The sequence below is a fragment of the Homo sapiens genome, chromosome 3 (genome assembly GCF_000001405.40).
Source record: "Homo sapiens chromosome 3, GRCh38.p14 Primary Assembly".
NCBI lineage: Eukaryota > Metazoa > Chordata > Mammalia > Primates > Hominidae > Homo > Homo sapiens.
In genome coordinates this window covers 87,130,264-87,157,895 of record NC_000003.12, presented here as the reverse complement: position 1 = coordinate 87,157,895, position 27,632 = coordinate 87,130,264, and the positions used below count along the sequence as shown (strand labels likewise).

General features: G+C 37.8%; 1 long non-coding RNA gene across 1 annotated transcript in view; it reads right to left on the bottom strand.

Annotated features, from left to right (window-relative positions):
- Nucleotides 1–826: 826 nt before the first annotated feature.
- The window catches only part of LINC00506 (long intergenic non-protein coding RNA 506), a 67,790-nt gene continuing 40,984 nt past the window's right edge, over nt 827–27,632 (bottom strand). Inside the window, exons 2-3 of the long non-coding RNA NR_104153.1 lie at nt 3,497–3,558; nt 827–1,104 (exon numbers count right to left, since the gene is read on the bottom strand). This is a non-coding gene — a long non-coding RNA (long intergenic non-protein coding RNA 506). The remainder of the gene's footprint in view (nt 1,105–3,496; nt 3,559–27,632) is intronic.

The window sequence follows — 27,632 nt, the reverse complement described above, 5'->3', positions numbered from 1 at the left end:
ATTGAAAGACTGTCTTTACAAAAAAATAAATTTAGCTGGCTGTGGTGGCGCATGACTGTAGTCCTAGCTACTCGGGAGGCTGAAGTGGAAGGATCTCTTGAGCTGGGGAGTTTGAGGTTGCATTTAGTTATGATCATGCCACTGCATTCAAACCTGGGTGACAGAACAAGACCGTCTCTAAAAAAAAAAAAAAAAAACAATGTTTTTAAGAGTTTGACATTCTAATAGGATTCTGTAGAGGGATAGAACTAATGGAATATATATTCCATTATGTATTAATATATAAATATTAATTTATTATTAAGTTCATTAAGTATTAACTCACATGATCACAAGGTCCCACAATAGGCTGTCTGCAGGCTGAGGAGCAAGGAGAGCCAGTGTGAGTTCCAAAATTGAAGGACTTAAGAGTCTGATGTTCAAGGACAGGATGCATCTAGCACAGGATAAAGACGTAGGCTGGGAGTCTAGGCCAGTCTCTCTTTTTCACATTTTTCTGCCTGCTTATATTCTAGTCATGCTAGCAGCTTAGATTTTGCCCACCCAGATTAAGGGTGCGTCTGCCTTTCCATCCCACTGACTCAAATGTTAATCTCCTTTGGCACAGACACACCCAGGATCAATACTTTGTATCCTTCAACCCAATCAAGTTGACACTCAGTATTAACCATCACAACATTAGAAGTCAAGTTGTTGAGAGGGACATATTTCCTTTGAAGCTCCTAAAGGACATTAATCCTCCCTTGTCTCCTCCAGCTTCTGGTAGTGCCAGGCATTCCTTGGCTTGTAGCAATGTAACTCCAATCCTTGCCCCATCTTCATATGGCAGTCTTTCCTCTGTGTCTGTGTCTCTTCTCCTCTTATAAGGACAGTCATACTTAATTTGATATGACTTCATCTTAATTTGATAATATTAGCAAAGACCCTATTTCCAAATAAGATTACATTCAAAGTTCCCAGTGGCTATTACCCCAGCATATCTTTTTGGAGACACAATTTAACTCATAACAGATACTATTTATTGCTGATAAATGAGTAAAGTCTTTCTGAAAAGAAATTTAGCAAAATTCTTTCTTCTACTAATTTCTTTTGTGTGAATCCACCCTGAAGATAAACAGAAACATAAATTTTAGTCATATGCAAAAGGTTACTTGCCACATTATTCATTATTTAGAAGCAATTCAAAGTAAAAAATGGGGAATTATTGAGTCATTTTGATACATCCCAATAATATTATGAAGCCACTAGAAATGTTTAAGTGCTTAGCATCGCAGAAAATCCAAGAGATACTAACAAATAGCAATTAGGTTACATTTGCTACTATAAAATTAACCAAAATTAAAACAAACAAACAAACATACAGCCTCAACAAAAAAAACACCACTGGTGAATGTATGAGAAAATGAGCATTCTTTTCCACTGCTGGTGGGAATCTAAAGTGTTCAAAAGCTTCCTGGAAGGTCATTTGGCAATACATGTCAATGCCTTAGCAATGTTCCTGTATTTGGCTTACCAATTCCACTTCCAGGAATTTACTTTAAAGAGATAATCTTGGATATGCACAAAAATGTATCAATGAGAATGTTTACTGGAGTTTATCACATGGAAAAATAGCAACCTAAATGTTCAATACCAGGATATTGCTTAAATAAATAATAAGACATCTAGGTGATAAAATACCATATATTTAGTGACATGGAAAGATATTGCATATTTCCATTTAAAAAAAAGAAAATGGATTATAAAACAGTGTTCATGGCATCATCCCATTGGCATAAATTTTAAGCCACTCGCTGAATGTAGAACTAACCACTATGGACTTACAAACCAACTTTTACAAGACTGGTGAGGTTATAGGTGCTACACAGTGCTCTTGTGAATTAAATAAGTTAAAACAGTTTTCAAAATTTCTCATTTTCTCTTTTGAAGTTGTTCACTGACTCAAAAAAGGATTTTGTCACAATTTCATCTTGGATACATCTGCAATATTGAAGTAGATGAATTCTTGAAGTATCCTGATATTCAGAATTAGGGAGGACCTAGAAGAAATTGTTCTGCTGTCAGTCCTCAAGAAGACACATGAGATTGTCAGGAAATGGGAAATTTTATGCACATAAAATTTCCTTTTACATATATAGACACAAATAAATAATAATATAAATCTGACTAGTCTTATACTGAAAAGACTGCCCTATTGCTAAATATCTGAATGTTAGAAAAAGACATTTTAGAAATAAACCTGTAATAGAGTACAAAAATTAAAATATATTAGCCTAAAAATTACAAAGTTTTTGGGGGAGTTGGAGATTACTTGATTAAAAAGTTGTATTCACAGAAAAAAATGCAAAAATGCAAGAATTTTTTTTGGAATAACCAAGATGGCAATGTGTAATATCATCACAATGTTGGAACTTCTTTTTCTGTTTTGGTAAATTTGTGGCTCAATCATTATACTTCCCAATATGTTATACTTTATTTTTATTCTAAAGCCCTTTCTGTGTGGTTATGGTTTTAACATTACTCTCTTGTTCCAAGACACATAAGCTCCAACAAAATTAAATAACTCCTTAGAAGACAGTTTCACTATTCTTATTCTCTATCCCTTGCCCGTAAATAACAAATCCCTTCTCCTGAAATCAGGAAGTTGGCAACATATATTTTAGAACAAGCCAAAAGATGGCTCAGTAGATGCATATAGCAAATTTTTACACACACAAAAGTTTTATTTCTTCTAACAATTTGTTTTGTGGGTAGTTGCTGTACTTTTTAATACGGTTTGCTTGTGTAGACATGTCCTTTCATAAAATGAGAGCAAGAAGTGAGTATTCCTTATTGAACCTGTTAATCCTGATTCCTGCCTAAGTAGTCCAATGAGATTTCTATGCTCAGGTAAGGCTTATCTTATTTTTTTCAACTACTTGGTTTACGGCAGTTGGTCTCTTACCAGGTGGGCTTTTCCATAGGCCTGCCTCTTGACATGGCTGTCATATGTTTTTGAGTAAGTAATTCAAGAGATTGGATGAGAAATATTGCCAAGGTGAAAGCCATGGTCTTTTCATAACTTCCTAACATCTTAGTACTGCTGTCATTTTCTATAAATCAGAACTGACTCCACAAGTCCAGTTCACACTCAATATGAAGGAATTACACAAAGGTGTGACTTCTAAAACAAGTGAATCATTGAGGTCATCTTAAAGGTTACTTACCACATCAACCAAAGTTTGAGAACACTGCTTTACAGGTGGCATTCAAAAATCAAGTGGAATGGATAAATTGCTTAAAAGGTATTCAGATGGAAATAAATTTCAGTGGATATATTTCAGGAACCAGGCAGAGAGACTAGCCAGAAGAAAGTGTAACTCTGGTTGCAGAGCTCGCATTGTGGAGAAAAGCCTCATGTCTAGGTTACTGAAGAGAGTACTAAAGAAGTAAGAACCTTAGCCTAGCCTGGGAACTGGGCACATGGACAGGAAGAAGTTATGATTCAGGAACTCACATAGAAGCCGTTTGAATCTGGAAAGGCAACTTCTGCTAGATTCCATCGTTCCAGCTCAGGACCTAGGTAAGAAAGGAAGACTTGAATCTGGAAAGCTTCATGAGCTCAGCTTTGAGACCCAAAAATGGGAAGAGCTGAAATAAGTCGTAGAACAGCGGTTCTCAAACTTTTCTTGGTGTCTGAAGCACTTAGCAACTTGATAAAAATACAAAGATTTGGGCCCTATTTTACTTCAACAAGCCTGCCTCTGTGTGCTTCACAAACATTCTAGGTGTTCTAATACAGACCAAAGTTTGAGAACCACTGCCTTAGAAGGACTACTTACGTTCCCGAAGGAATCTGCTATGTACTGATTTATGATAATTGACTCACTAAATTAAAAAACCAGTGCTAAACTCTAACACAGTTCATGGCATAAATATGAATGTGCACACTTGTAGACAGAAGTGAAGTAAAAGATTATTGCAACTAAAAACATTCCAAGAAAAAGGACTGTGCTTTTATGTTGAAAGAACAAATCATGGCTGGCACTGATTAATAGATTCTGTTCTCTCAGGCTGGCAAAATGCAAGAGTTTTCTTTGCCAGAAATAGGAAAATGTACACCCAGGCCAGCATCTGGAAGTTATTCTTAAAGAAATGTGACATTAGATAAAATGAGAGTGGTGGGTCAATTTCTATTTACCCATTTCACTGTTCCATGCTGACTAAAGTTTAATGCAACTTTAAACTAAAATCTTCACCCTGTTTTTCATTCTCTTTCTTCTTGTTGCATCATGTTTATTTCCAAATCCATTTGAAAAATAGATACTGGTGGCATTCTATTAAGACTTAGGTGAACTATGGACCTTAATTATTCTTTTTATAAAATTTGCTTAAGTAAAAAGGATCCTAGAGTGGAATATATATAATATTTGAATTCAGAGCCACCTGGCTGTAAATACAGTGACTATGAAACCTTAAGCAAGTGTTTCAACTTTTCTAAAGTTCTTTATGTGTACATGGGTAGATCACCTGACCACTTTGAAAAATTATAATTGGAGTAATACATGATGTATACGAAATACTCAACTCTAGTAGGCACTCAATAAACTGAACTATTATTACTACTAATCACTGATACTTCCTAATTCTGTAAAGATCAAAAGACATTAGTAACACAATGTTATGTTCAGAATCAGGTGCAGGTTATATCTAGTAGGTATTTCTGATTTTCTGTTTTGAAGTTAGTATTATATGGTAGTGGTCAAGAGCACAGATTCAGAATCCAGCCAAGTTCAAATTTAACATTGCCATTCATTAATAGTGTATTCTTCGATGATTATGTAGATAATTTACTTAACCTCTGCCTTGCTTTCCTAATCTGTAAAATGGAGAAAATAATGATGCACCAACCTAATGGGAATTTGTAAGAATGAGGTTACTATTTGTAAAGCAATTACAAGAAAATATACCATGTGTGTTAGATGTTGTTCATAATAATCACTTTAAAAAAAAATTTCATCCTTTACCTCAGCTACGAATTTTGGATGTTGTTTACAAAAGAAAATAATGGGTTGAATTGTCTCTTTGTGCAGGTTTCAGCTTTTTGATGGGATGATATTACCATATCCCTCTAAATTGTTTTATAAGGTTTTATCCTGATTATACGATATAGCTTTTCCAAGGAGGTGAGCTGCTCCTTGGGGTGCCAGACACTTTTGGGAGCTGCAATTAATTATTTGAGGGAAGATAGCTCCATCCATAGAATTACTCTCCTTTCAATAAACTAATTAGTACCCATGTGATCTGAGCATGTGAAGGCACTAAGCAAACGTGCCTGTCTGGCTCTCAAGGAGTGACATTCCTTATGAAAACTTTGCTCAGAATTGAAATAATGGGAGAGAGTGGTCCAATTTTTTTCCCTCTCTGACAGCACATAGTAGTAGGATATTCTGTGTAGTGGATGACAAATATATGTGATTAATGATAATAGTAAAAATAGAAAAATATTTTCCTATATGTTTGAGAAAGTGTCATATTAATTCACTTGTTTTCTCAGTTTGTTTAAAAGACTTGTTTACTTCGAAGGCTGTCTTCATCTTAAAATGAAAACAGGTATGCCAGTACTGATGGAGAGAGAAGCTTTGGAAATACGTATATTTGTTGTCATGGTTATTTGGGGAAAATAAAGTTGACCTCAGGTAACCTCAGATGTGGGAATGTTTTTCCTGACTCTACTATTACTGATGTTAATTTATTTGCCAGGCTGGCGGGTGAAAAATCTGCTACCTTGAGAGGAATTTATATAAAGCATCTTCCCTATTCCCGTGTGTTTTTGAGCATTCACTCTTTGAAAGTATTAAGATGCATGTATAACACACATCAAGTTGATGTCAAGTATCAAAGTTTGTCTGATGTCTGCACAGCCCTAGGGACAGAGAGCCACTTTGATTTTATCTCATAGCTGTGACCTGAGCACTTCAAATGAATGGAAAATGAAAGTATCATGTGTAGAGAGTTGTTTGGATTCCCAACTCCCAGGAAGAGATTTGGTGGCTCTCACTAAGAATTCATAGGCTTTTTCTATGAACACTGAATTATCCATGATTGAGAATCCCCTGCAATTCAAACATGGAAAAGGTCTGAATAGGGAAGGTGGAGAACAGTATGGAAAGGGTCAGATCACTGAGTGGGAACAATACCTTGCTGCTTGTTTCTTGGGGGAACGTAGCCACAGAGAGAGGCACTAGTACCAGAACAGGAGGCACCAGAAGGGCAAGGAAAGTAATGACAGTATTACAGAGACCAAAGGCACAGACAGAGAAACTCAAAAGGAGGAAACAGGCTCATTAGAAATGTATCATACTGTCCAGAATGTGCAACTGCAGAAGAGATAGACTGTAAAAGGAGAAGAGCAAGAGAACAAAAGTACAGAGGTAGTTTATCTTGAGTCACCCCCAAAACTACAGGACCCTGTTGATATGGTTTGGCTCTGTGTCCCCACCTAAATCTCATCTCAAATTGTAATCCCGACATGTTGAGAGAGGGACCTAGTAGGAGGTGACTGAATCATGGGGGTGTTTTCCTTCATGCTGTTCTCGTGATAGTGAGTTCTCATGAGATCTGATGGTCTAAAAGTGTTTGGCAGTCTCGCACCTCGCTCTCTCTCCTGCTGCTATGTAAGACACGTCTTGCTTCCCCTTTGCCTTCTACCATGATTATAAGTTTCCTGAGGACTCCCAAGCAATGCAGAGCTGTGAGTCAATTAAATCTCTTTTCTTTATAAATTATCCAATCTCAGGTAGTTCTTTATAGCAGTGTGAAAATGGACTAACACAGAAAGTTGGTATGTAGAGAAGTGGGACATTGCTATAAAGATACCTGAAAATGTGGAAGCAACTTTGGAACTGGGAAACAGGCAGAGGTTGGAACAGTTTAGAGGGCTCAGAAGAAGACAGGAAGATGTGGGAAAGTTTGGAACTTCCTGTAGACTTGCTGAATGTTTTTGATCAAATGCTGATAGTGATATGGACAATGAAATCCAGGCTGAGGTGGTCTCAAATGGAGATGAGGAGCTTATTGGGAACTGGAGCAAAGTTCACTCTTGCTATACTTTAGCAAAGAGACTGGTGGCATTTTGCCCCCACCCTAGAGATCTGTGGAAATTTGCACTTGAGAGAGATGATTTAAGGTATCTGGTCGAAGACATTTCTAAGCAGTAAGGCATTAGAGATGTGACCGGGCTTTTTCTGAAAACGTACAGTCCTATGTGTTCACAGAGATGGTCTAAAATTGGAACTTATGTTTAAAAGGGAAGCAGAGTGTAAACGTTTGGAAAACTTGCAGCCTGACCATGTATAGAAAAAAGAAACTATTTTGGGGGGGAGGAATTTAAGCCCAAGCCACCTGCAGAAATGTGCATAAGTAACAAGGAGCCAAATGTTAATAGCCAACACAATGGGAAAAATGTCTCCAGGGCATTTCAGAGCTCTTCGAGGCAGCTCTTCCCATCACATGCCCAGAGGACTACGAGGGAAAAATGGTTTTATGGGCCAGGCTGTGGGCCCAGCTGCTCTGTGCAGCCTTGGGCCACAGCAACCTGTGTCTCAGCATTCCAGCTTCAGTCATGGCTAAAGGGGCCAAGGTAAAGCTTGGGCCACTGCATCAGAGGGTTCAAGCCCCATGCTTTGGTGGCTTCCATGTGGTGTTGGGCCTGGGGGTGCACAGAAGGCAAAGGTTTAGGAACCTCCACCTAGATTTCAGAAGATGTAGGGAAACACCTAGGTGGCCAGGCAGAAGTCTGTTGCAGGGGCAGAGACCTCATGGTGAACTTTTACTAGGGCAATAAAGAGGGAAAATGTGGGATTGGAGCCCCCACACAGAGTCCTTACTGGGGCACTGCCTATTGGAGCTGTGAGAAGAAGGCTATTGTCCTCCAGACCCCAGAATGGTAAATCCACCAACAGCTTGCAGCATGCAGCTGGAAAAGACAGAGACACTCAATACCAGTTCATGAAAGCAGCCACAGGGGTGGTACCCTTCAGAGCCATAGTGGGGGAGCTGCCAAAGGCCTTAGGATCCCAGCTTTTGCATCAGCATGGCCTGGATGTGAGACATGGAGTCAAACAAGATTATTTTCAAGCTTTAAAATTTAATGACTGCCCTGTTGAGTTCCAGACTTGCATGGGGCATGTAGCCCCTTTGTTTTGGCCCATTTATCTCATTTGGAATGGGAGCATTTAACCAATGCCTGTACCCTCATTGTATCTTGGAAGTAACTAACTTGCTTTTGATTTTACAGGCTAATAGGCAGAAGGAACTTGTGTTATCTCAGATGAGACTTTTGGGAACAAAAGACTTTTGGATTAATGCAGGAATGAGTTAAGACTTTGGTGGGCTGTTGGGAAAGCATGATTGTGTTTTGAAATGTGAGAAGGACATGAGATTTGGGATGGACCAACAGCAGAATGATATGATTTGGCTCTGTGTCCCCACCCAAATCCCATCTTGAATTGCAATTCCCGTGTGTCAAGGAAGCGACCTAGTGGGAAGTGACTGGATCATGGGGGTGGATTTTCCCTTGCTGTTCTCCTGATAGTGAGTGAGCTGTCATGAGATCTGGTTGTTTGAAAGTGTGTAGCACTTCCCAATTTGCTCTCTCTCTCTCCTGCTGGCCATGTGAATATGTGCCTGCTTCCCCTTTGCCTTCCACCGTGATTGTAGGTTTCCTGAGCCCTCCCCAGCCTTGTGGAACTGTGATTCAATTAAACCTCCTTTCTTTAGCAATGTGAAAAGGGACTAGTTGACCTGGTAATATTGTAACTGAATATCGAGTAAATACAATGGATTCTCAATCCTGTGGAGACACATATACAGATTCAATAGAAAAGGAGAGTACATGACTGCTTTTCAAGAGCAGGAATGACATACTGACCTAGTTAATCATGGCTAGATGACATTTACAAACTCTCCTTGTGAAGCAGGTTTAGTATACAAAGGTAAACTCACATTATCTGATATGTTTATAATCATGGGTGAGGTTTGATTTAACTATCCAGTAAAATCAGTCAATTATTTATTTTTAGTATATAATTAAGTCACTTTTAACAAATCCCATTGGTTTTACAAGTTTAAATAAAGTGCTATACCAAAAAGTTATGCATATATAATAAATGTTTCATCATCAGCACCCTCACCAGTAAAAACTGGTTGTTAAACTTGACTGCAGTGTGACTCTATGTTAAAATACAGGTGTTCAAATATAACAAGCAGCATGGGAATATCTACATTTCTAAAACTTCTCAAGGGGTGTTCTCTGAAGTAGAGCTGTTTAATATTTCCAAGAGCTCTGTGGGAAAAGAATATACTATCTAGTACTGTTACCAGGGGAGGGTTTTCAGATTCTTGGTGTTTTGAACAAAGAATTGGACAAAAATGCACAAATAAAGCAAGAAAAGAATGGAGCAACAAAAGCAGAGATTTTTTGAAAATGAAAGACACTCCACAGGGTGGGACCAGTGGAGCAACCACTCAAGGACCCGAATACAGAATCTTTCTGGGTCCAAATACACCCTAGAGGTTTCCCATTGGCCACTTGCTGTTCACCCCGTGTAAATGAAGTGGTGGTCTGCAATCAGCCTGGTTGTGGAAAGCAAACAATTAGAGGCTGAAGTGAAGTTACAAAGGTCACACTCCTATGCAAACATCTGAAGTGAAGTTACAAAATGAAGTTACAAAGTTGCAGTTCTATGCAAAAGAAGACTTGGCCTGCAATCAGTCTGATGGGTTGCAAACCACAACCGATTAGAGGCTGAAGTGAAGTTACAATGTTACACTCTTTTTTGTTTTTGTTTTTGTTTTTTCTTTTCTTTTCTTTTTGAGATGGATTCTCCCTCTGTCACCCAGGCTGGAGTGCAGTGGTGCAGTCTTGGCTCACTGCAACTTCCACCTCCCAGGTTCAAGTGATTGTCCTGCCTCAGCCTCCCGAGTTGCTAAGACTACAGGCAGATGCCACAGCGCCTGGCTAATTTTTTGTATTTTTAGTAGAGACGAGGTTTCACCACATTAGCCAGGATGGTCTCCATCTCCTGACCTCGTGATCCACCAGCGGCAGCCTCCCAAAGTGCTGGGATTACAGATGCCAGATTGGTTGCAAAATGCAATTGCAAAAAGCAAACCAATCAGAGATACTTTTAATTTCCCATCTGCTGCACAGAAAAGGTGGCCGTGCAGAACCGGTGCTGTGCAGAAAAGTTGGCCACGCAGAAGAGCAAAAGCAAAAAGCCACCACTCAGAGGTACTTTCAATTTTCCATCTGCTGCACAGAAAATAAGGGGGTTTGCAAAGGGAGTAGCCTCTGGTCCTTTTGTTACTTAGCTGTGGAAAGTTAGGGTTTTCCTTTCAATTTAGTTCTAGGAAGTCAGAGTGAAATGGCTTTAACTTCCTGCCTCCAGACCCTATTCTCCTACCTCAGTACATTCCGCTCTCATTGTGTGAAAATGGCTAGAGGAGACACCTATTTGTGATGAGTAGATTTCCTTCCAATGATTCGTCATATCATTAGCATATTATAAGAAACAACCTTTTAAACTTTTTATCTTTACTTATGAGTTCTGCTTATGAGAGAACATTATATGTAACTTTACACAAAGTCTTATGGGAAACATTTTTCTCAGCACTCAGTACCCAGAAAAGTACTGAGTAACTAGTTGGACTTTATCTTGTGGACAATTGAATCGCATAATGTATTGTGTTTCCCATTTTTCTTTGGCTTCTAGAGAGGTTTGAAAACAATATTGGGGTACATCTATATCAAATTCAACAGATCTTATTGTGTGCATTTCATGTACTAACCTCACCCCGATTTCATTTTTTTCTACCCTCATTTGTTCTTCCTTCTAATTTCCTCTAATTAAAAAAAAAATGTTGAACACTCTCATTCTTCTTGGGAGCAAGGTAGACAATAAATAGAATAGATTAATTTATAGATATATTTATTAAATTCTAGGTGGATCCCAGCATCCTATTTGCAGGGCTCCTGATGTGGAGGAAGAGGGTGAGGGTTAGCAGTCCAGAAAATGTCAATTCCACGTCCATTGAAGTTGTGTTCATTGATACTGTTTCTGTTGTCACCCTCCCCCTAACTCACCACCCTTGTTGCTGTGGCTTTTTCATTGTTAGCTTACCATGTAACTTGCATTTTTGGAGTAGATTTTGCTGACCTTTGGTAACCTGGAGATGACTGTGTTTCTTTCTGAAGTGAAATAGTCATGGGTTTTGATGAGAGGCCCTTTTCATCTCATAAGCATTTGCCCATAAAAGAATTAGGAAAAACAAAAATCAATGCTACTCTCCTCCTTTTTCATATAACATTAAAATGCTATCAAAACAAAGTAATGTATCTTTGATCTAACAAACTTCATAATTCAAATTCACTTAAATAGATGTAGATTTGATACATGTCTTAAGTAAAGAAAAGGAAAATATGTCCAGGCTTATGAAACAGGTGGCCAGGGGGAATAAAAGTTAATATAATGGAGTAAAATGTATTTGGTGAATTTTTCCTCAGCAAATTCAATTGATAGCACCAAGCTTAGATAATCATAGTTCAGCAAATAAAACCATTTTACTTAATGGTAATAGATTTAGTAGAGTTACTCTGAGGACCAAACAAAACTAGGTTGCTTAAGTATTTATTTAAAAACAAAGAAAAACAGAGTCCCAACTGTGTTGTCCTGCTCTGCAGAATACCTTTAGGATACTAAGAAAGCATATACATAATGTGTTCCTGTTACAGGACTTTCCCTTAATTCAGCTAAAGGTGGGGTTCTTTGTTCCATCACGAAAATTCAGGCTCGCAGACAATTTGGGTGGTGAGTGAGACAGAGTTTTATTGGGTGGAAAGGAAGAAAGGGGAAAAACAGGGACTCTCGCTAGGCCAGTGTTCCTGCTAGAGTGCTTCCCGCCCAAAGCTTGGATCCCGGGTTCCACCCAGGAAGAGGAGAAACCAGGCTCCTCCCTGCTGCAAATGTCATTAACTTCCCGAGGCTCCACCTCAGTGGGAAGGCTGGTTAGAGTTTCTCCAGGGACACCCTCCCACCTGGCTGTCTCTTTCCCGCCTGCACAGAAGTACATCTAACTGCCCTTCGAATAAGGGTAAGGATGAAGACCTATCTTAACTGCTTCCTGCCGACAGAGGGCACTGTTTTGGGGAAACCACAGTCAGAGCTTCCCCAGAGGCCTACCAACAGGTTCCCAGCAGAAGGGACCATTGTCAGAGGCTCTGGTTGCATGACTGTTTGGAGTTTGATGGCCTGAAGGCAAGAACAGACAAACCAGATTATTAGAAAACACGTATCAAAACAAAACAAAGGGGACATAAGGACAGCTCAAAAATTATGAGGCCTTTTACCAGTTTGCATAGGGAGAGGGAAGCCAAAAACCTGACTGGTTAAAAAAAACTTGTACCCTTTTGCTGGCATGTTGGGCTTCTGGGTTCCCTTCCCCTGAGCCCAGTCCTAAGCCAACCAGTTTAAGTTTTGAGAAATTAACTCTTTCCAGTTTGGAGGATGCATCTGAGGGGAGTGTCTCATAGTACAGATACACAATTACCTATCAGTGAAGACAGAACCTAGGAGGAGAGAGGAAAAAAGAAGGTGTTTATTTTTTTCAAAGAAGTCCCAGGGGTTCCGGATGCACTTTAAAGGGATACAGACTGAAGATGAATGGCTACCCATCTAGCAAGAGGGGATCAGATGTCCCCAGTTTGCTTCTCTTCCTAGCAGATACCCAAGGTACATGAGGGAGAGAGGGAAGAGTATCTTCTTTTCCCTCTTCCGTCCTTGCATCCCCCATTTCTGGTGACACTGGCAGGTCCTGCCATGAGTGCCAAAGCGGCTTGAACCCATGAAGCAGGGTGCCTAGAGAATAGGAATTATCTGTTCTCACCTAGGTCTCTTTTCCACCTACTGTCAGTAGCCTCGGAGTTCCCTAGACCTCATTTATGCCACGGATACTAACATGGCTTTTATCTATGAAACAGAAAGCTTGGGGTTGTTTTAATCAGTAGGAATCCGCTATGCTTCTCTGTGCTGTGCCTTTTAACTTCTGTTGTCATCTGCCTCTGGATCCCTTATATCCAGTTTTCTTTCCTACGGCTTTGACCTGAAGCTTGAAATTGAGTCTGGGACAAAAATGTGTCTCAGGGTGGGGGGCAGGGGGTTGCATGGACCCTTTATCATAAGCCAAATGCTAAGTTGAAACTGTGGAACTGAGTCCTACTCCAACAAAGGAAAGGAAAGGATGTCTTGTGACACACTCAGATACCTGGCGGCTATAGTTATGCTTGCTGGGATTTGGGTGCCTGGTGCTTGGTTTTGGTTAGCTCCCTTGGTTTTACTTTCCCAAAAGGAAATCTCCAAGTGATGAGCATCCTATTTATTCCCATCACCTGGCAGGATTTGCAGGATAATTGCTCAGAAATAGAATATTGACCTGGATTTCTACATTACCTATCCCTCTTGTTCTTTCTGAGCTGCAGCCAGAGATTGCTGGTAGTTTCATAGGAACAAGCAGGGTAAGTTTAAAATGTAGGCATAAACTTAAAAACAAGTAGTGAGTTTAGAATTTAATTAAAATATATGCAAGTTTTGGTACATAATTTCTCTCTTTTCAGTCCTCATTTTTGTTAAAAAAACAATGTATAATAGGACTGAGCTCTTTGCAAAATAGACTTTAGTTTTATGCTTGGCCTGATTATTTGCATAAAGTGTATTAAGAATAATTATTTCTATATAGGCCTTCTGGATTGGCTTTGATGGAAGTTTGTTCCACAAGGAATCTCAGATAAGACCTTTTAAAGCCAAGCCCAACCATGAGTTTTTATCCTCAAACAGCTGTGAGTTGGGTAACCCTTTCCTCTTAAGGTCCCACAATAAACTTGGAGCTCCTGGACCTGTTAGAAAGTGACATTCTTACTGACAACAAGTCAAGAACCCTGTACAGGGACTGTGTAGATGAGGGTATGAGGCCAGTCTCCCACGGGTCTTTTATCAGCTCTGTAAGTCAAGCTTTACTCCTTAAAGGGAAACATACCCTTCCAGTCAAAGCCTTGGTAAAATAACCATTTTTCCAATTGTGTCCTTTTGCAAAAGAAAAATGGATTTTTATTGCATTGATGCAAACAACTACATTGCCATAAGTTAAGAATACTCACAGATATTCTCCAAATTCTAGAGGAACCAGGCAGAGAGAAACAAACATGTTCTAAATTTTAATCACAGGAGTGTATACCTTACTTAATTATTAAAGTCTGAAAATAGTTCAAAATAAGTTTCCTTTACTCTGAAAAACAAAACAAGGATCAGCAATATTCCAAACAAGGTTAAAAGGATTGCTTCAGTTTCTAAGTTTAGTCCATTTAGTTTTTGTTTTGCTTGTATTCATTAATATTTCAGCTCTTTATGAGTCCTATATATTTTTCTTTATTCCAATTTCACAGTCTCCAAAGTTATCAGAAACCTGTATTTGAGAGCACCTGTTACAGTTCTATAGCTTATTATAAACCATCTTTTGAAAAGGATTAAAATAAAACAACAATTTTTGAATAGCAAAATATCCAGGGTAGTTACAGTTAGAAACATGATTGACAGAGAAGTTTGATTAGCTCTGTGATTTACAATAACTTAACAAAAAACCTTAATTATGATTGATAGCTATACTCAGATATTAGAATTTTAGAAACTCCATACAATTTTGGAACATATATTGGCATTCTTCACCAAGATATAACTTAACCTAAAGAAGATCATTTTGTCAATCCCATGTACCTAAATATGTTAAATAATTCTGTTTACCTCTTTTTCTCTGGACATTCCAGGGGCCCTCTGGACTTTCCACAAACCCAGGTGTCGAGGAAGACAATTTTAAAACTGAAGTTTGATTTTGGGAAGGCTGTTAAATGTTCAAGGTTTAAAACACTTGATATTATGAAATAGAATTCCTGATTACTGTAAGTTATTTATTTTGCCAAAATGATGACTCAGAAATTTTAAAGAACCAAAAACCTTTTATAAACCTTTATAAATTTTGCCAAAGAGATTAGCATTTTAAGAATTTCTTGTTGTGTTTTTATTTCAATGCTCGATTTACAGAAAAAAACATTTAATACCCTTTTGAATTTAGCAAAAATATTTACATAGAGACCTTCTTCTGCAAGATTAATTTCCACAATTCTTCCACCACTTCTTTGAACCTTTAGCTTTTTCCTAATTTAACTCAAAACAATCATTTAACTCTAGGCAAAAGTTTACATTTCCATGCCTTCTTATAACCTTTTACTAAAAAAACACATTTTACTGTTCTTACACACCTTGCATGTAAATCTATTTCTAGTAGTTTCAATTAACTTCTAGCAATTTGGTAAAACTTGGTAAGTTGCCTTAATTGTGTGATAAGTGCAGCCAAGATTTGACTCCAGCATAATTAAGGGTGTGGTTAGTTCCATATGTCCCCAGACCCTACCAATGATGTAGCTGACAAGTAAAATAGCTCTCAAAACCCAAAAAGCAGTTTGTAACCTCAAAACAATTAGCAAACTTTGCATCTGACCTGCATTTTACGAATAGTCTTTAGGGCTGTTTTTATTTCTTAAAGATTAAAGTCATGTGAAATGAAAGGTACCACAGCTTTTAGCTTTAAAAAATGTTAGATCCAAGCACTTTTCTTTAGGCCAGATTAATTAGAGTTATTTTTACAGACATCACATATAGTACACACAGACAGGCAGAAGAAAACCCAGTTGCTGGGTAGGGCCTTTTAAGAGACAGGGCTAGGAAAACATGTAGATTACTTAACCTGAGAGGGGCATCCCCTAAGGTAGGGTTGCTAAACAAATCCTTGCCAGGCAGTAACTGGCCACACCCCCCAGATGTAAAACAAGATGGAGGCTTGATTTCACAACCACAACTTTGCAAAGAATACAGTCATAGTTGGTGGGTGGATTGGGGGGAGGTGCAGGGCTGGCCTAGTAAAACATCTTCTAAAAGGAAAAACAAAAAACTATAAAAGTTAACTTGCTGACAGGGTGGAGAAGAGGAAAAAAGAGAAAGTTTTCAAATGCCTGGGGGAGATCCTCTTATTCTTAGGCAAGTGGTTCTTCCACCAGAGAGAAAAGTTTAATTACTGCCTGATGGAGCTGAACCCCTTGGGTGGGGAAGGGAAAGGCTGCAGTGGCTTCTGGATGGGAACCAGCCACCCGGCTGTGTGAGACTCTTGAGCCATGTGTCCCAGCCCCAGCATGGAGGGGAGGGGGAGCAAGGAGCCCCTGCTCCCCTGTCCTGAAAAAGGAAGGAAAGGGCCTTTCCCCCAACCCCAGGGAGCCACAGGGTTTGGGGGTATGTATTCCCAACCCTCAGAAGTCCTCAGAAGGTGAGAGGTTCTGAGTCCTCATTTCACTCACTGCTTCTTGAGCCCCATGTTGGGTGCCAAAAATGTTGCAGGACTTTTCCTTAGTTCAGCTAAGGGCAGAGTTCTTTGTCCCACAGCCATGAAAACTCAGGCTTGCAGACAATTTGAATGGTGAGTGAGACAGGATTTTATTGGGTGAAAATGAAGAAAAGGGGGAAACAGGGACTCTCACTAGGCCAGCGTCCCTGCTACAGTGCTTCCAGCCTGTAGCTTGAATGCCAGATTCCACACAGGAAGAGGAGGGGCCAGGCTCCTCCCTGCTACAAATGTCATGAACTTCCCAAGGCTCCACCTCAGTGGGTAGGCTGGTTGGAGTTTCTCTGGGGACCCCCTCCAACATGGCTGTCTCATTCCCAATTTTGGTTTAACCCTGAAACTTTAGCCTCTTATTTCCAAGTAATTACATGACTTTCTCACTGTCACAATTGTGCCTGATATTCAAGTCTATATACTTCTTATCCCTTAAAAAAAAAGGCACCCCTTCTACAGTTCCTTGGGAATTCTGGTTGCCTACTGTGGACAATAGAATAGATTGAATTGGAAATATATTCACATTGGGACAATATTCCAGTGGTTTCATTGACAGACATTGATGTGTGTCTCTCACCAAAGGTTTTGCCATGAGAGAGAAACCCTTAGGATGGAGGGACTTTTTTGATCTGTCTATCAAGAAACAGGTAGTGAAGAACTAGAATGGTCTATTTTTTGTCAGGAAGTTTTGAGGGATCAGTTTGACACATGTACTGCAATAAGTGCAAGCAGTCCCATTTTTAATATGGAGTCGATAATCACAGATAGAAACATACCAGAGACATAGGGATGGAGTCAGGGATTCAGAAAGACAGGCATTAAAATAAGTTTCATGTATACAAATAGATTTAAATACTGTATGAAACAATGTCAAAAGGAAAATCTGGGGACTTGTGAGGCCATCAAAAGGGAGACAATCCATGTGGAAAAGAGCAAAAGGAGCTCTTTCTTATCACCCTACCTTCTCTACTCCAACTTTGACAAAAGTGCTTAAGTACAGTCTGAGAAAAGTTGAGTTGAGGATCTGGGAGATGAGACCGACTCAGAGATTCATCGTGGTGGGTTCTAAGGTCAAAAAAGTAGCATGGCTTATGAGAAAATCCCCATCTCTTCTCAACAGCTATGTCCATTTCTTCCTTGAGTTTATCCCCTAGATGGAGGCAGAGATATTAATGAAAAGATCTAAAATTATGACAGACATTACAACCTCTTTGGTTTGATTGAAAATACGGTAACAGACAGCAGGAACAGAAAAGCTGCAAGGGAAGTCTATGAGGGTTCCAGGTTTCACTTATTCATGTTTCCTGAGGCCAATTCATCTTCATTAGTTTGACTAATATTTATTGAGCAGACACTGTATGTTTTACGTACTGTTTTAGGCAGTGGTATACAACAGAGAAAAACAGATAAAGTAACTTATCTGATGTGGTTTATGTTTCAGGAGGAGGAACAAACAATATACAAATAAATATGATGTGAGTAGGGATGTGTTATGAAGAAAAATAAAGCAGAGCAAAAAAATAAAAATGAGACAGGTGGATGAAGTAAGAAATGTCCTTTGATAAGGTGACTTTTGAAACTTAAAAGAGGGAACCAATCTTTGGGGAAAAAAACATTCAAAGCAGGATGTACATTACTGCAAGGGCACCAATTGCAAGTCCTTCAGTAAAAGCTGAGCACAGGGTTGGTGTTCTATGGAATTGTGTATGTTATGCAGGTGATAAGAGAGAAATGGTGAGAAACTTCAACTTGCACATATTTGTATAGATTGTCAACCTGAAAAAATACAGCCAAATTTGTTTTAAATGTGAACTTCTTTGAAAGCTCATTTGTTACCCAATGCATCATCCTTTCTCCAGTTAGCCATTTGCATCTTGCATTTCCAAACATATAAAGTGAAAACACAATTTATGGGGAGACAGAGCAACCAGGAAAGGAAAAAAACTGTAGCATTTTGTGATATTCATGAACTAACATCCTGAATTTCTTCAAATTTTGAATAAAAACTGCAAATACCCCTAAAGTGACATTAAATAACATTTTCATGACCATTAACCCCTTTAGTTGATCCTGGTGATCAGAGTCAGGGCCCCAAATATATTTAGTATATTGGCGACAGTGAACCTGCAGAGCTAAATCACATTTGTTATGTTCAGAGAACGATTTAAATGCAATTAGGTAAATCCAACATTTATGCAACTCCTCTGGTTCTTCTTTCCAGAAGCTTAATCAAGGTAACAAATTTATCTGCAGGGGGCCATATGTATATTATGGTTCACACAGTGCATGCCTGGGCTAGGAACATGAAACTCAGTAACAGATGTCCCCAATATCACAACTTTCTGACTTTGTATCTCTGTTCCCAAGAAGGCTGGCGGTCATGTTTCTTTTAGTGTGAGCTGCAAGGGCTCCCACATTTCTACAAGTCGGATATCCATCTGTCAGACTGAATTGAACCAGATTTCCATGATGTGGAAAAAAATGCTCAGGAGAGGTATAGATAAAGCCATCAAATTATGTTCCACCTGTGACTAGAGCCAAGCAGAACCTGCCAATTTTATCCCATGGCAGATCTATTGACAGCTCTCATCACTTGGATTTGACTGCTTTGTTCTGCCCTCCTAAATTTCACTCCGAGCTGGATTTTCTTCAGGACTGCATGAGCTCAAACATCAGGTGAATCCAAAGGATGGGAAATTTGCTAAAAGAAATTTGAGCCTATTTCACATGCATAATTCCCATTTGTAACAGTTTCATTTAGGTGGCTTATTGAATTCTTTTGAATATATTAGGGTTTGTGTGTGTGTATGCCTTAACAGAAATGGATTTTTCTTACACTATATAAATATTCTAAATAAACTATCAAAAATTGTCTCAAACTAACAAAAATAATTCTAAAATATACAGGGCAAAGTGTTAGAGAGAATACACAATTTAGAACTCACAGATTTTGCTCTTTAATTTTTATCTTTTGAGAGGAAACTTAGAGATTTTGTATTTTTTTCCTGTCATTGATATTATATTAATAACTTGCCAAGCAAGAGAAAGATTAAGAATATTGAATATAGGTGTTTTTTATAGCATTTGGGAGTCATAAAGAGTCTAAAATTCTAAGGTTGAAAGATAAAATTAATTCAATTGCAGAACTCTTTTTGTTAATGAGTATGTTATTTAACACACACACATACACAAACACTTATAAGGCCAGTGTGGTCTGATAAATAAATAGGAGACAAACACCTTAGGAATATTTAATTCTGGTTCTGTCTTTAATGCTAAGCTTTCTATTGACATGTTCTAATTGCTCATGCCTTATTTCTTTTATCTTGTAAACTAGAACTAAAGGAATGGAGTGCTATTGTAGGGATCAGTATTATTACATAGGCGTATAAGTTGATAAATATTGATGGGGTATTTTAAAGGCCATACTATTATGTATGAGTGTCTGCTGATTATCCTGCCACTATGAAGCTGAATCTTAAACTCCAAAGATGAAACAAAATTCAAATGTTATCATTTATTATCTTCAGGTAAGCTTCAGTTCTCTATTATTGACAGATGTCTTCTTAAACTCTGCTGGAACAAAGAACAAAATAAATAAACACATCCACAGATACAGATCCTTCTGAACTTAAAAGAATTTCAGGCAAGAGGCCAATTTGGGATTTGGACTGGAATTGACAATATGTCCCTGATAATGTTAATAACTAGCATTTATTGAGTTTTTACTATGTGCCAGAGACTATTCTAAATGCCACATCATGTTTACCCATTTAATCCACACAAAAACAATTTATCTCTATTTTATAAATGAAGAAACTATGGCCTAGAGAATTTCTATATAGCTCTATATAACCCAACATTCCCATTTATATGTATTTACCCTGAAGAAATGAAAACATAGAAAACTTACCTGAATACTTGTAGATACTTTATTCATAATCACCCCAAACTAGAAATAACCCAAAAGTTCATCAACAGGAAAATGGATAAAAAATTGTGGTACATCTATAAAATACTGTATTTCTCAGCAACTAGGAATGAATTCTTGATACATAGTTTGTATAGTATTGATAGAATAATAAGGATGACTCTCCAAAACACTATGCTAAGGGAAATAAGTCAGACATAAAAGGCTACATACTGTAAGATTCTATTTATTTGAAATTCTGGGAAAACAGAAAACTGTAGGGACAGAAATCAGATGAGCAGTTGCTAATGTCTGGTACTTGAGTTTGGTGGAGGGAACTGATTATAAATGGCCACCAATAAATTTTTTGGTTTGAAGGGAATATTCTATATCTTAATTTTGGTGGGGGTAACATGAGTATATATGTCAGTCAAAACTCAGAACTATACACTCAAACAAGGTGAATACTACTATTTGTAAATTAAAGCTCAAGAAACCTGATGTTAAAAAGTATTTAGCCAAGTTCTAAGTATCTAATAGGACACTAAGCCTAATATATTCTTATTTTTCTTTTATAGTTAGCCTTCCTTTTATAACACTAATATACAAAGACTGGATCTAAATTAAAGTAAAATGTTTGATTAAATGAGTGCTATGAAATGGTGAGGCCCTCCAAAGTACTTGGTATAGGACACTTTGAACAACCACAGATTGATTTTGATTTTATTTCTTGTAAGTTTTGGGCCTACATCCTGAAATTCTTACTTTACTAAATACCTTTAATTGCCTGACTTTCATCTTCAAATGGTGACATTTCTGTTTCTTCAGGCTGCACACTGCATTGTTATTGTTCAGAAAATCTTTCTTAATAATAATCAGGTAAAATATGCTTCTCTGTATTCTCTACTTTCTGCTCAATCAGATTTTATTGACTACTTCTTTCCCATCTTCCAGGTTTACTGTCTCAGTCAGGGACTTAAAGACACCACCAAAAGCATGCCGCAATCTAGGGTTAACAACAACACAGAGCCATCATCACTGCTAGATCTGAAGGGGGAAGGGGAAGAGGTGGTTCCTGGAAGAAGAGTATAACGAGAGGGCCAATAGCCTGATGAGAAGGAGTCATTTGAGGAACTTCACAGCCAAGCCACAAGAATCTAACAGTAAGGGAACCAGGGGCATAAATACCTGACATAGCACTCTTATCCTCCAAAGCCTGCTGGTAACTTCCATTGACAGAGGAAAAAGAACCCATGTGTGAAGAATGAATTTGGAGGATGTCTGGATCAGTTTGGGCTGCCACAACAATAATGCCATAGATGGTGTGACTGAAATAACAAACATTTATGTCTCACAATTCTGCAGGCTGGGAAATTCAAGATCAGGTGTCTGGTGATGAACTACATCATAGCTTACAGACAGCTGCCTTGTAGCTGTATCTTTGCATGGCCTAGATCCAAGGGAGAGGAAACAAGTTCTCTCCTGTCTTTTTTTATAAAGGCTCTAGTCCAATCTTGAGGGCTCCACTCTCATGACCTAATTATCTCTCAAAGACCCTATCTCCAAATACCATTGTTTTGGGGGAATAGGATTTCAACATATAAATTGTTGGTGGGTAGGTGGAACAAACATTCAGTCATAGTAGAGAGGCAACTAGAATATAACCAATATATCATTCCCCAAATATTGAAATCCAGAAAATTTTCTCTTCTTCTAAAGATAGTCTCTTTTGCAGATTAATTTCCCCCATTCTCCCCTTTTATGTTTGCAAGATTTCTCCCTCTCCTCATTATTTATCTGTCTCTTTTTCAGATTCTGTTGTTGATCTAAAACTGCCACTCTCTGGCCTAGCCCGTATACTTCAGGACCTTTCTACTTTGGCCAAATGGCCTAAGCCAAAGTCAAGGTACACCGGGAATGTTGCCCAAGGCTGGCCTGTGGATGGAGCTAATAAAATATTGGGCCCCTGGAGAAAGGCACAGGTTTTCCAAGGGGGCAATTAGAACGAGAAAAGTGGAAATCTATGATACTGAGAGAAAAATAACTTTGCACAACTTATTCAGTGGATCTTGGTCTCCTTATCTATAAAAGAAGAGCCACCAGATGTTCTATAGCAAGGACAGTATAGCGTAGAGGTTCAGTGTAGGGGTACAAAAGCCAGTCTGGCTGTATTTTAATCCTGATTCTGCCACTTACCGGTTTTATAACATTGTGCAAATTACTTAGCTTCTATGAACCTAAGTTATCACAAAGTATTCATCTGGCATATAGCAAGCACTTAATGAAAATTTTATTAATATCCCACACCTAAAGGTTGGTTACAGTCATGCTAATCACTAGCAACATAACTTAGATCACAAATGCTGATGTAATAATTATTTGGTAAATGATGAATAGCATTTGGACTGTGAATTATTACCTGCTACTTTTTTAAGTTATAGAGTATTTCTTACGAATAAAGTCTTCAAATATTCAGGTGTTTAGCAATAAAAATTTTTGATAAAATGTTGTTCTTTAATATAAAAAAGTACTTCCAACTTTTAGGGTTTAACAGTTGGAGAGACAGAGAATAGGAGAAAGATGGAGGGGGAGAGACTGTCAGGACCCAGGTGAGGGGGTAAAGGATGGGATAGAGTGCTATTTTGTACACTTTCATGGTAATTCTATTAGATTTCTTTTAGCAGTGAAATATTTCACTGTTACAATGGCATAAAATGTTCCCCAAAATTTACTATGTGTCTCTCATATATTTATAGTAAAAACGTCTATGTACTATAGTACATGCTTTTCTAACCGGGGATCTAAAGATCTATATGAATAAAGCCAAGAAAACCTATTTATAACCTCCATTTTGGCAGTTTGTTTCTCCCCATTCCTCAGAAATATGGCTCCATGCAGATATATGAATATGTTCATAAATTTCCTGTGGTTCATTATACAAGATTTGAATTTCATTTTAGTACTAATAGGTTACAGTGCATTTTTCAGGAAGAATGAATAAAATATTTATTTTTACTTTATTAAAGAAAAATGGCTCCTCTTTGAATTACATCTCTTTACACTTTTCTCAAGATATTTGGGAATCAAATCAGGTCTGTTCTACATGCAGACTATAATAAAATTATAAGAGATAGAATGATTACTCTAGATACTATTACAATTGACACAATTATTATTAATTGGTGCAACCGGAATTATTGGAAAGAATTTGCTCATTTTTTGCACTTAAGAGTAATAATAGTTAACAAAATAAGGCTAATTTCATAATGTTTGCTTACTAATTTATAGAATAAAACTATGAAGACCTTTTTGTAAGGTCTTATTTCAAAAAAAATTATGAATTTGCCCTGAATAATAGTCTATAGCAATGTTATATTTAGTACTTTATATATGGCTATAAATATCTGTGAATTAACAAATTTGTTTTACTTGTTCTTGTCTTAGCATTCTAGACATTGGGGGTTCATTTTCTGAAGTTCTGATATTAATTTCAACACTTTTTATGTGGTATTTATACATATCAACATTTGTTTTATTTGCTTTTGAAATTAAGCTAACTTTGTATGTGTTTTATGAAGTATACACTCAAAATTTCACTTTCAAGTTTCTTTAAATGACTACAGATGATCCACACCTGTTTTATATTTTCTAAAACAAATTCCAAAAACAAAACAACAAAACAGTCCCAAGAAAACATCTTGCTGCAAAAATGGCTTTCAATAAAATTCAGCATCCCTTCATAGTAAAAACCCTCAACAAACTAGGCATTGAAGGAACATATCTCGAAATAATAAGAGTCATCTATGACAAACCCACAGCCAGTATTATTATACTGAATGGGCAATAGCTGGAAGCATCCCCCCTTGAGAACTGGAACAAGACAAGGATATCCTCTCTCATCACTCTTATTCAACATAGTACTGGAAGTCCTAGCCAGAGCAATCAGGCAAGAGAAAGAAAGAAAAGGCATCCAAATAATAATAAGAAGTCAAACTATATCCGTTTGCAGATAATATGATTTTATAACTAGAAAACCCTATAGCCTCTGCCCAAAAGCACCTAGATCTGATAAACAACTTCAGAAAGTTTCAGGATACAAAAATCGATGTACAAAAATCAGTAGTATTTTTATTCACCAGCAATATTCAAGCTGAGTCCAAACCAAGAGTGCAATCTCATTCACAATAGCCACATAAAAATTAAATGCCTAGAAATACAGCTAACAAGGCAGATGAAATATCTCCACAATGAGAATTACAAGACACTGCTGAAAGAAACCAGAGATGACACAAACAAATGGGAAACATTTCATGCTCATGGGAAGAATCAATATTATTAAAATAGTCATACTGCCCAAAGCAATGTACAGATCCAATGCTATTCTTTTCAAACTACCAATGACATTCTTCATAGAATTAGAAAATTCTAAAAATCACATGGACCAAAAAAAGAGCCTGAATAACCAAAGCATTCCTAAGCAAAACAAACAACATTGGAAGAATCGCATTACGCAACTTCAAGCTATACTACAAGGCTACTGTAACCAAAACAACATGTTACTGGTACAAAAGCAGACACATAGGCCAATGGGACAGAATAGAGAACCCAGAAAAAAGGCCACACATCTACCACTATCTGATCTTCAACAAAGTCAAGAAAACAAGCAATGGGGAAAAGAATCCCTATTCAATAACTGGTGCTGGGATAACTGGCTAGAAATATGCACATTAAAACTGGACCCCTTCCTTACACCATATTCAAAAATCAACTCAAGATGGATTAAATACTTAAATGTCATGTCTAAAACTATAAAAACTCTTGAAGAAAACCTAGGAAATACTATTCCAGACTTAGGAAGGGGCAAAGATTTCATGACGAAAAGGCCAAAAGCAATTGCAGCAAAAACAAAATTGGTAAATGAAACCTAGTTAAACTAAACAACTTCTGCACAACAAAAGAAGCTATCAACATAGTAAACAGAAAACCCACAGAATTGAAGCAAATATTCTTAAACTATGTATCTGACAAGGTCTAATATCCAGAATCTATAAGTACCTTAAACAAGCAAGCAAACAACAAACAACACCCTTAAAAAGTGGGCAAAAGACATCCTAGTGACTCACTAGCATAATACTCGTGATGGTTAATATTGTGTGTCAACTTGATTGGATTGAAGGATGTAAAATATTGTTCCTGGGTGTGTGTGTGTGAGGGTGTTGCCAAAGGAGATTAACATTTGAGTCAATGGACTGGGAGAGGCAGACCCACCCCCAATCTGGAAGGGCACCATCTAATCAGCTGCCAGTGCAACTAGAATAAAGCAGGCAGAAGAAAGTGGAATGAGCAGACTTGCTGAGTCTTCCTGACTTCATCTTTCTCCCATGCTGGATGCGTCCTGCCCTCAAACATCAGACTCTAAGTTCCTTAGCTTTTGAATTATTGGACTTACGCTAGTGGTTTGCCAGGGGTTCTCGAGCCTCTGGCCACAGACTGAAGGCTATACTGTTGGCTTCCCTACTTTTGTGGTTTTGGGACTCAGACTGGCTTCCTTGCTCCTCAGCTAGCAGATGGTCTGTTGTGGGACTTCACCTTGTGATCCTGTGAGTCAATACTCCTTAATAAACTCCCCTTATATATACATCTGTCTTATTCATTCTGTCCCTCTAGAGAACCCTAATACAGACAAGAACAGACACTTTTCAAAAGAAGACATACATGTGATCAACAAGAATAGGAAAAAATGCTCAACATCACTAATCATTAGAGAAATGCAAATCATGACCACAATGAGATACCATCTCACGCCTATCAGAATGGTTATTATTAGAAAGTCAAAAAATGAGAGATGTTAGTGAGGCTACAGAGAAAAGGGAATGCTCTTACACTGCTGGTGGGAATGTAAATTAGTTCAGCTACTGTGGAAAGCAGTGGTGATTTCTCAAAGACCTTAAAATAGAACTGCCATTCAACCCATCAGTCCCATTATTCAGTATATACCCAAAGGAATATAAATCATTCTACCATAAAGATACATGCATATGTTCATTGCACCACTATTCACAGTAGCAAATACATGGAATCAACCAAATGCCCACAAATGGTAGACCAGATAAAGAAAATGTGGTACATATATACTATGGAATACTATGCAGCCATAAAACATGAGATCATGTCCTTTTCAGCAACATGGATAAATCTGGAGGCCATTATCCTAAGTGGAGTAACACAGGAACAGAAAACCAAATACCGAATGTTCTCACTTATACATCGGAGCTAAACAATGAGTACACACAGACACAAAGAAGGGAATTATAGACTCCAGAGGCTACTTGGGGGTGGAGGGTGGGAGGAGGGTGAGGATAGAAAAACTACCTATCTGGTACTATACTTATTACTTGGGTGACAAAATAATCTGAACATCAAATCCTTGTGACATGCAATTTACCTGTATAACAAACCTGCACATGAACTCCTGAAACCAAAATAAAAGTTAAAAAAAAGAAAAGATCTTGTCTTATGGGTATAGGAAATAAAAAGAGTAACTTTACATCAAAAAATAATGTTAGAGCTTTCCTGCATAATTTAGAAAATTACTACACCTTTAAAGTCAACCGATTGCTTATTGTATGCTTACCTTGTTAATTATGAGAAAGAACATTCTTAAGCCAATTTATCCCTGAGCTGAGAATAAAAGCTAACATTTATGAATTCATTCATGCATTCATTCAACAGGCATTTTTCGAACACTCATTATATGCCAGACATTATTTTAGGCACTGAGGTAAGGAGATGAATCACTCTATTCTTGAAGAACCCACAGTCTAGTTGGATAGACAGACAAAAATGATAGAATTATTGAAAGTGTTTTAGGGACCACAAAGGACAGCAATCATTTCAAGCAAGGGAAGTGAAAACTGAGCTGAGCCCTGAAGGATAAACAAAAATATGCAGTAAGAGAAATGAGACTTAGTAGTTATATGAACTAAATAGTTTTTATTTTTATTTTTCCTGCACTAAATCACCTTGTGACGTTCTTTAGCCTAAATGCTAAATTCTACCTATGGTGAGATGTTATCCAATCTGATTTTCTGGACTTGGCTAAGTATCTTAACAAAATTTAACCTAGTCTGCCAACATGTTGAATGGGTAAAAAGTAAGTCTTCATTTTATTGCAGTATACTGCTAACAATTTATATGGAATAAAACTTTTATGAATCTTATGTATCATGTTGACCTCTCAGTATATCTT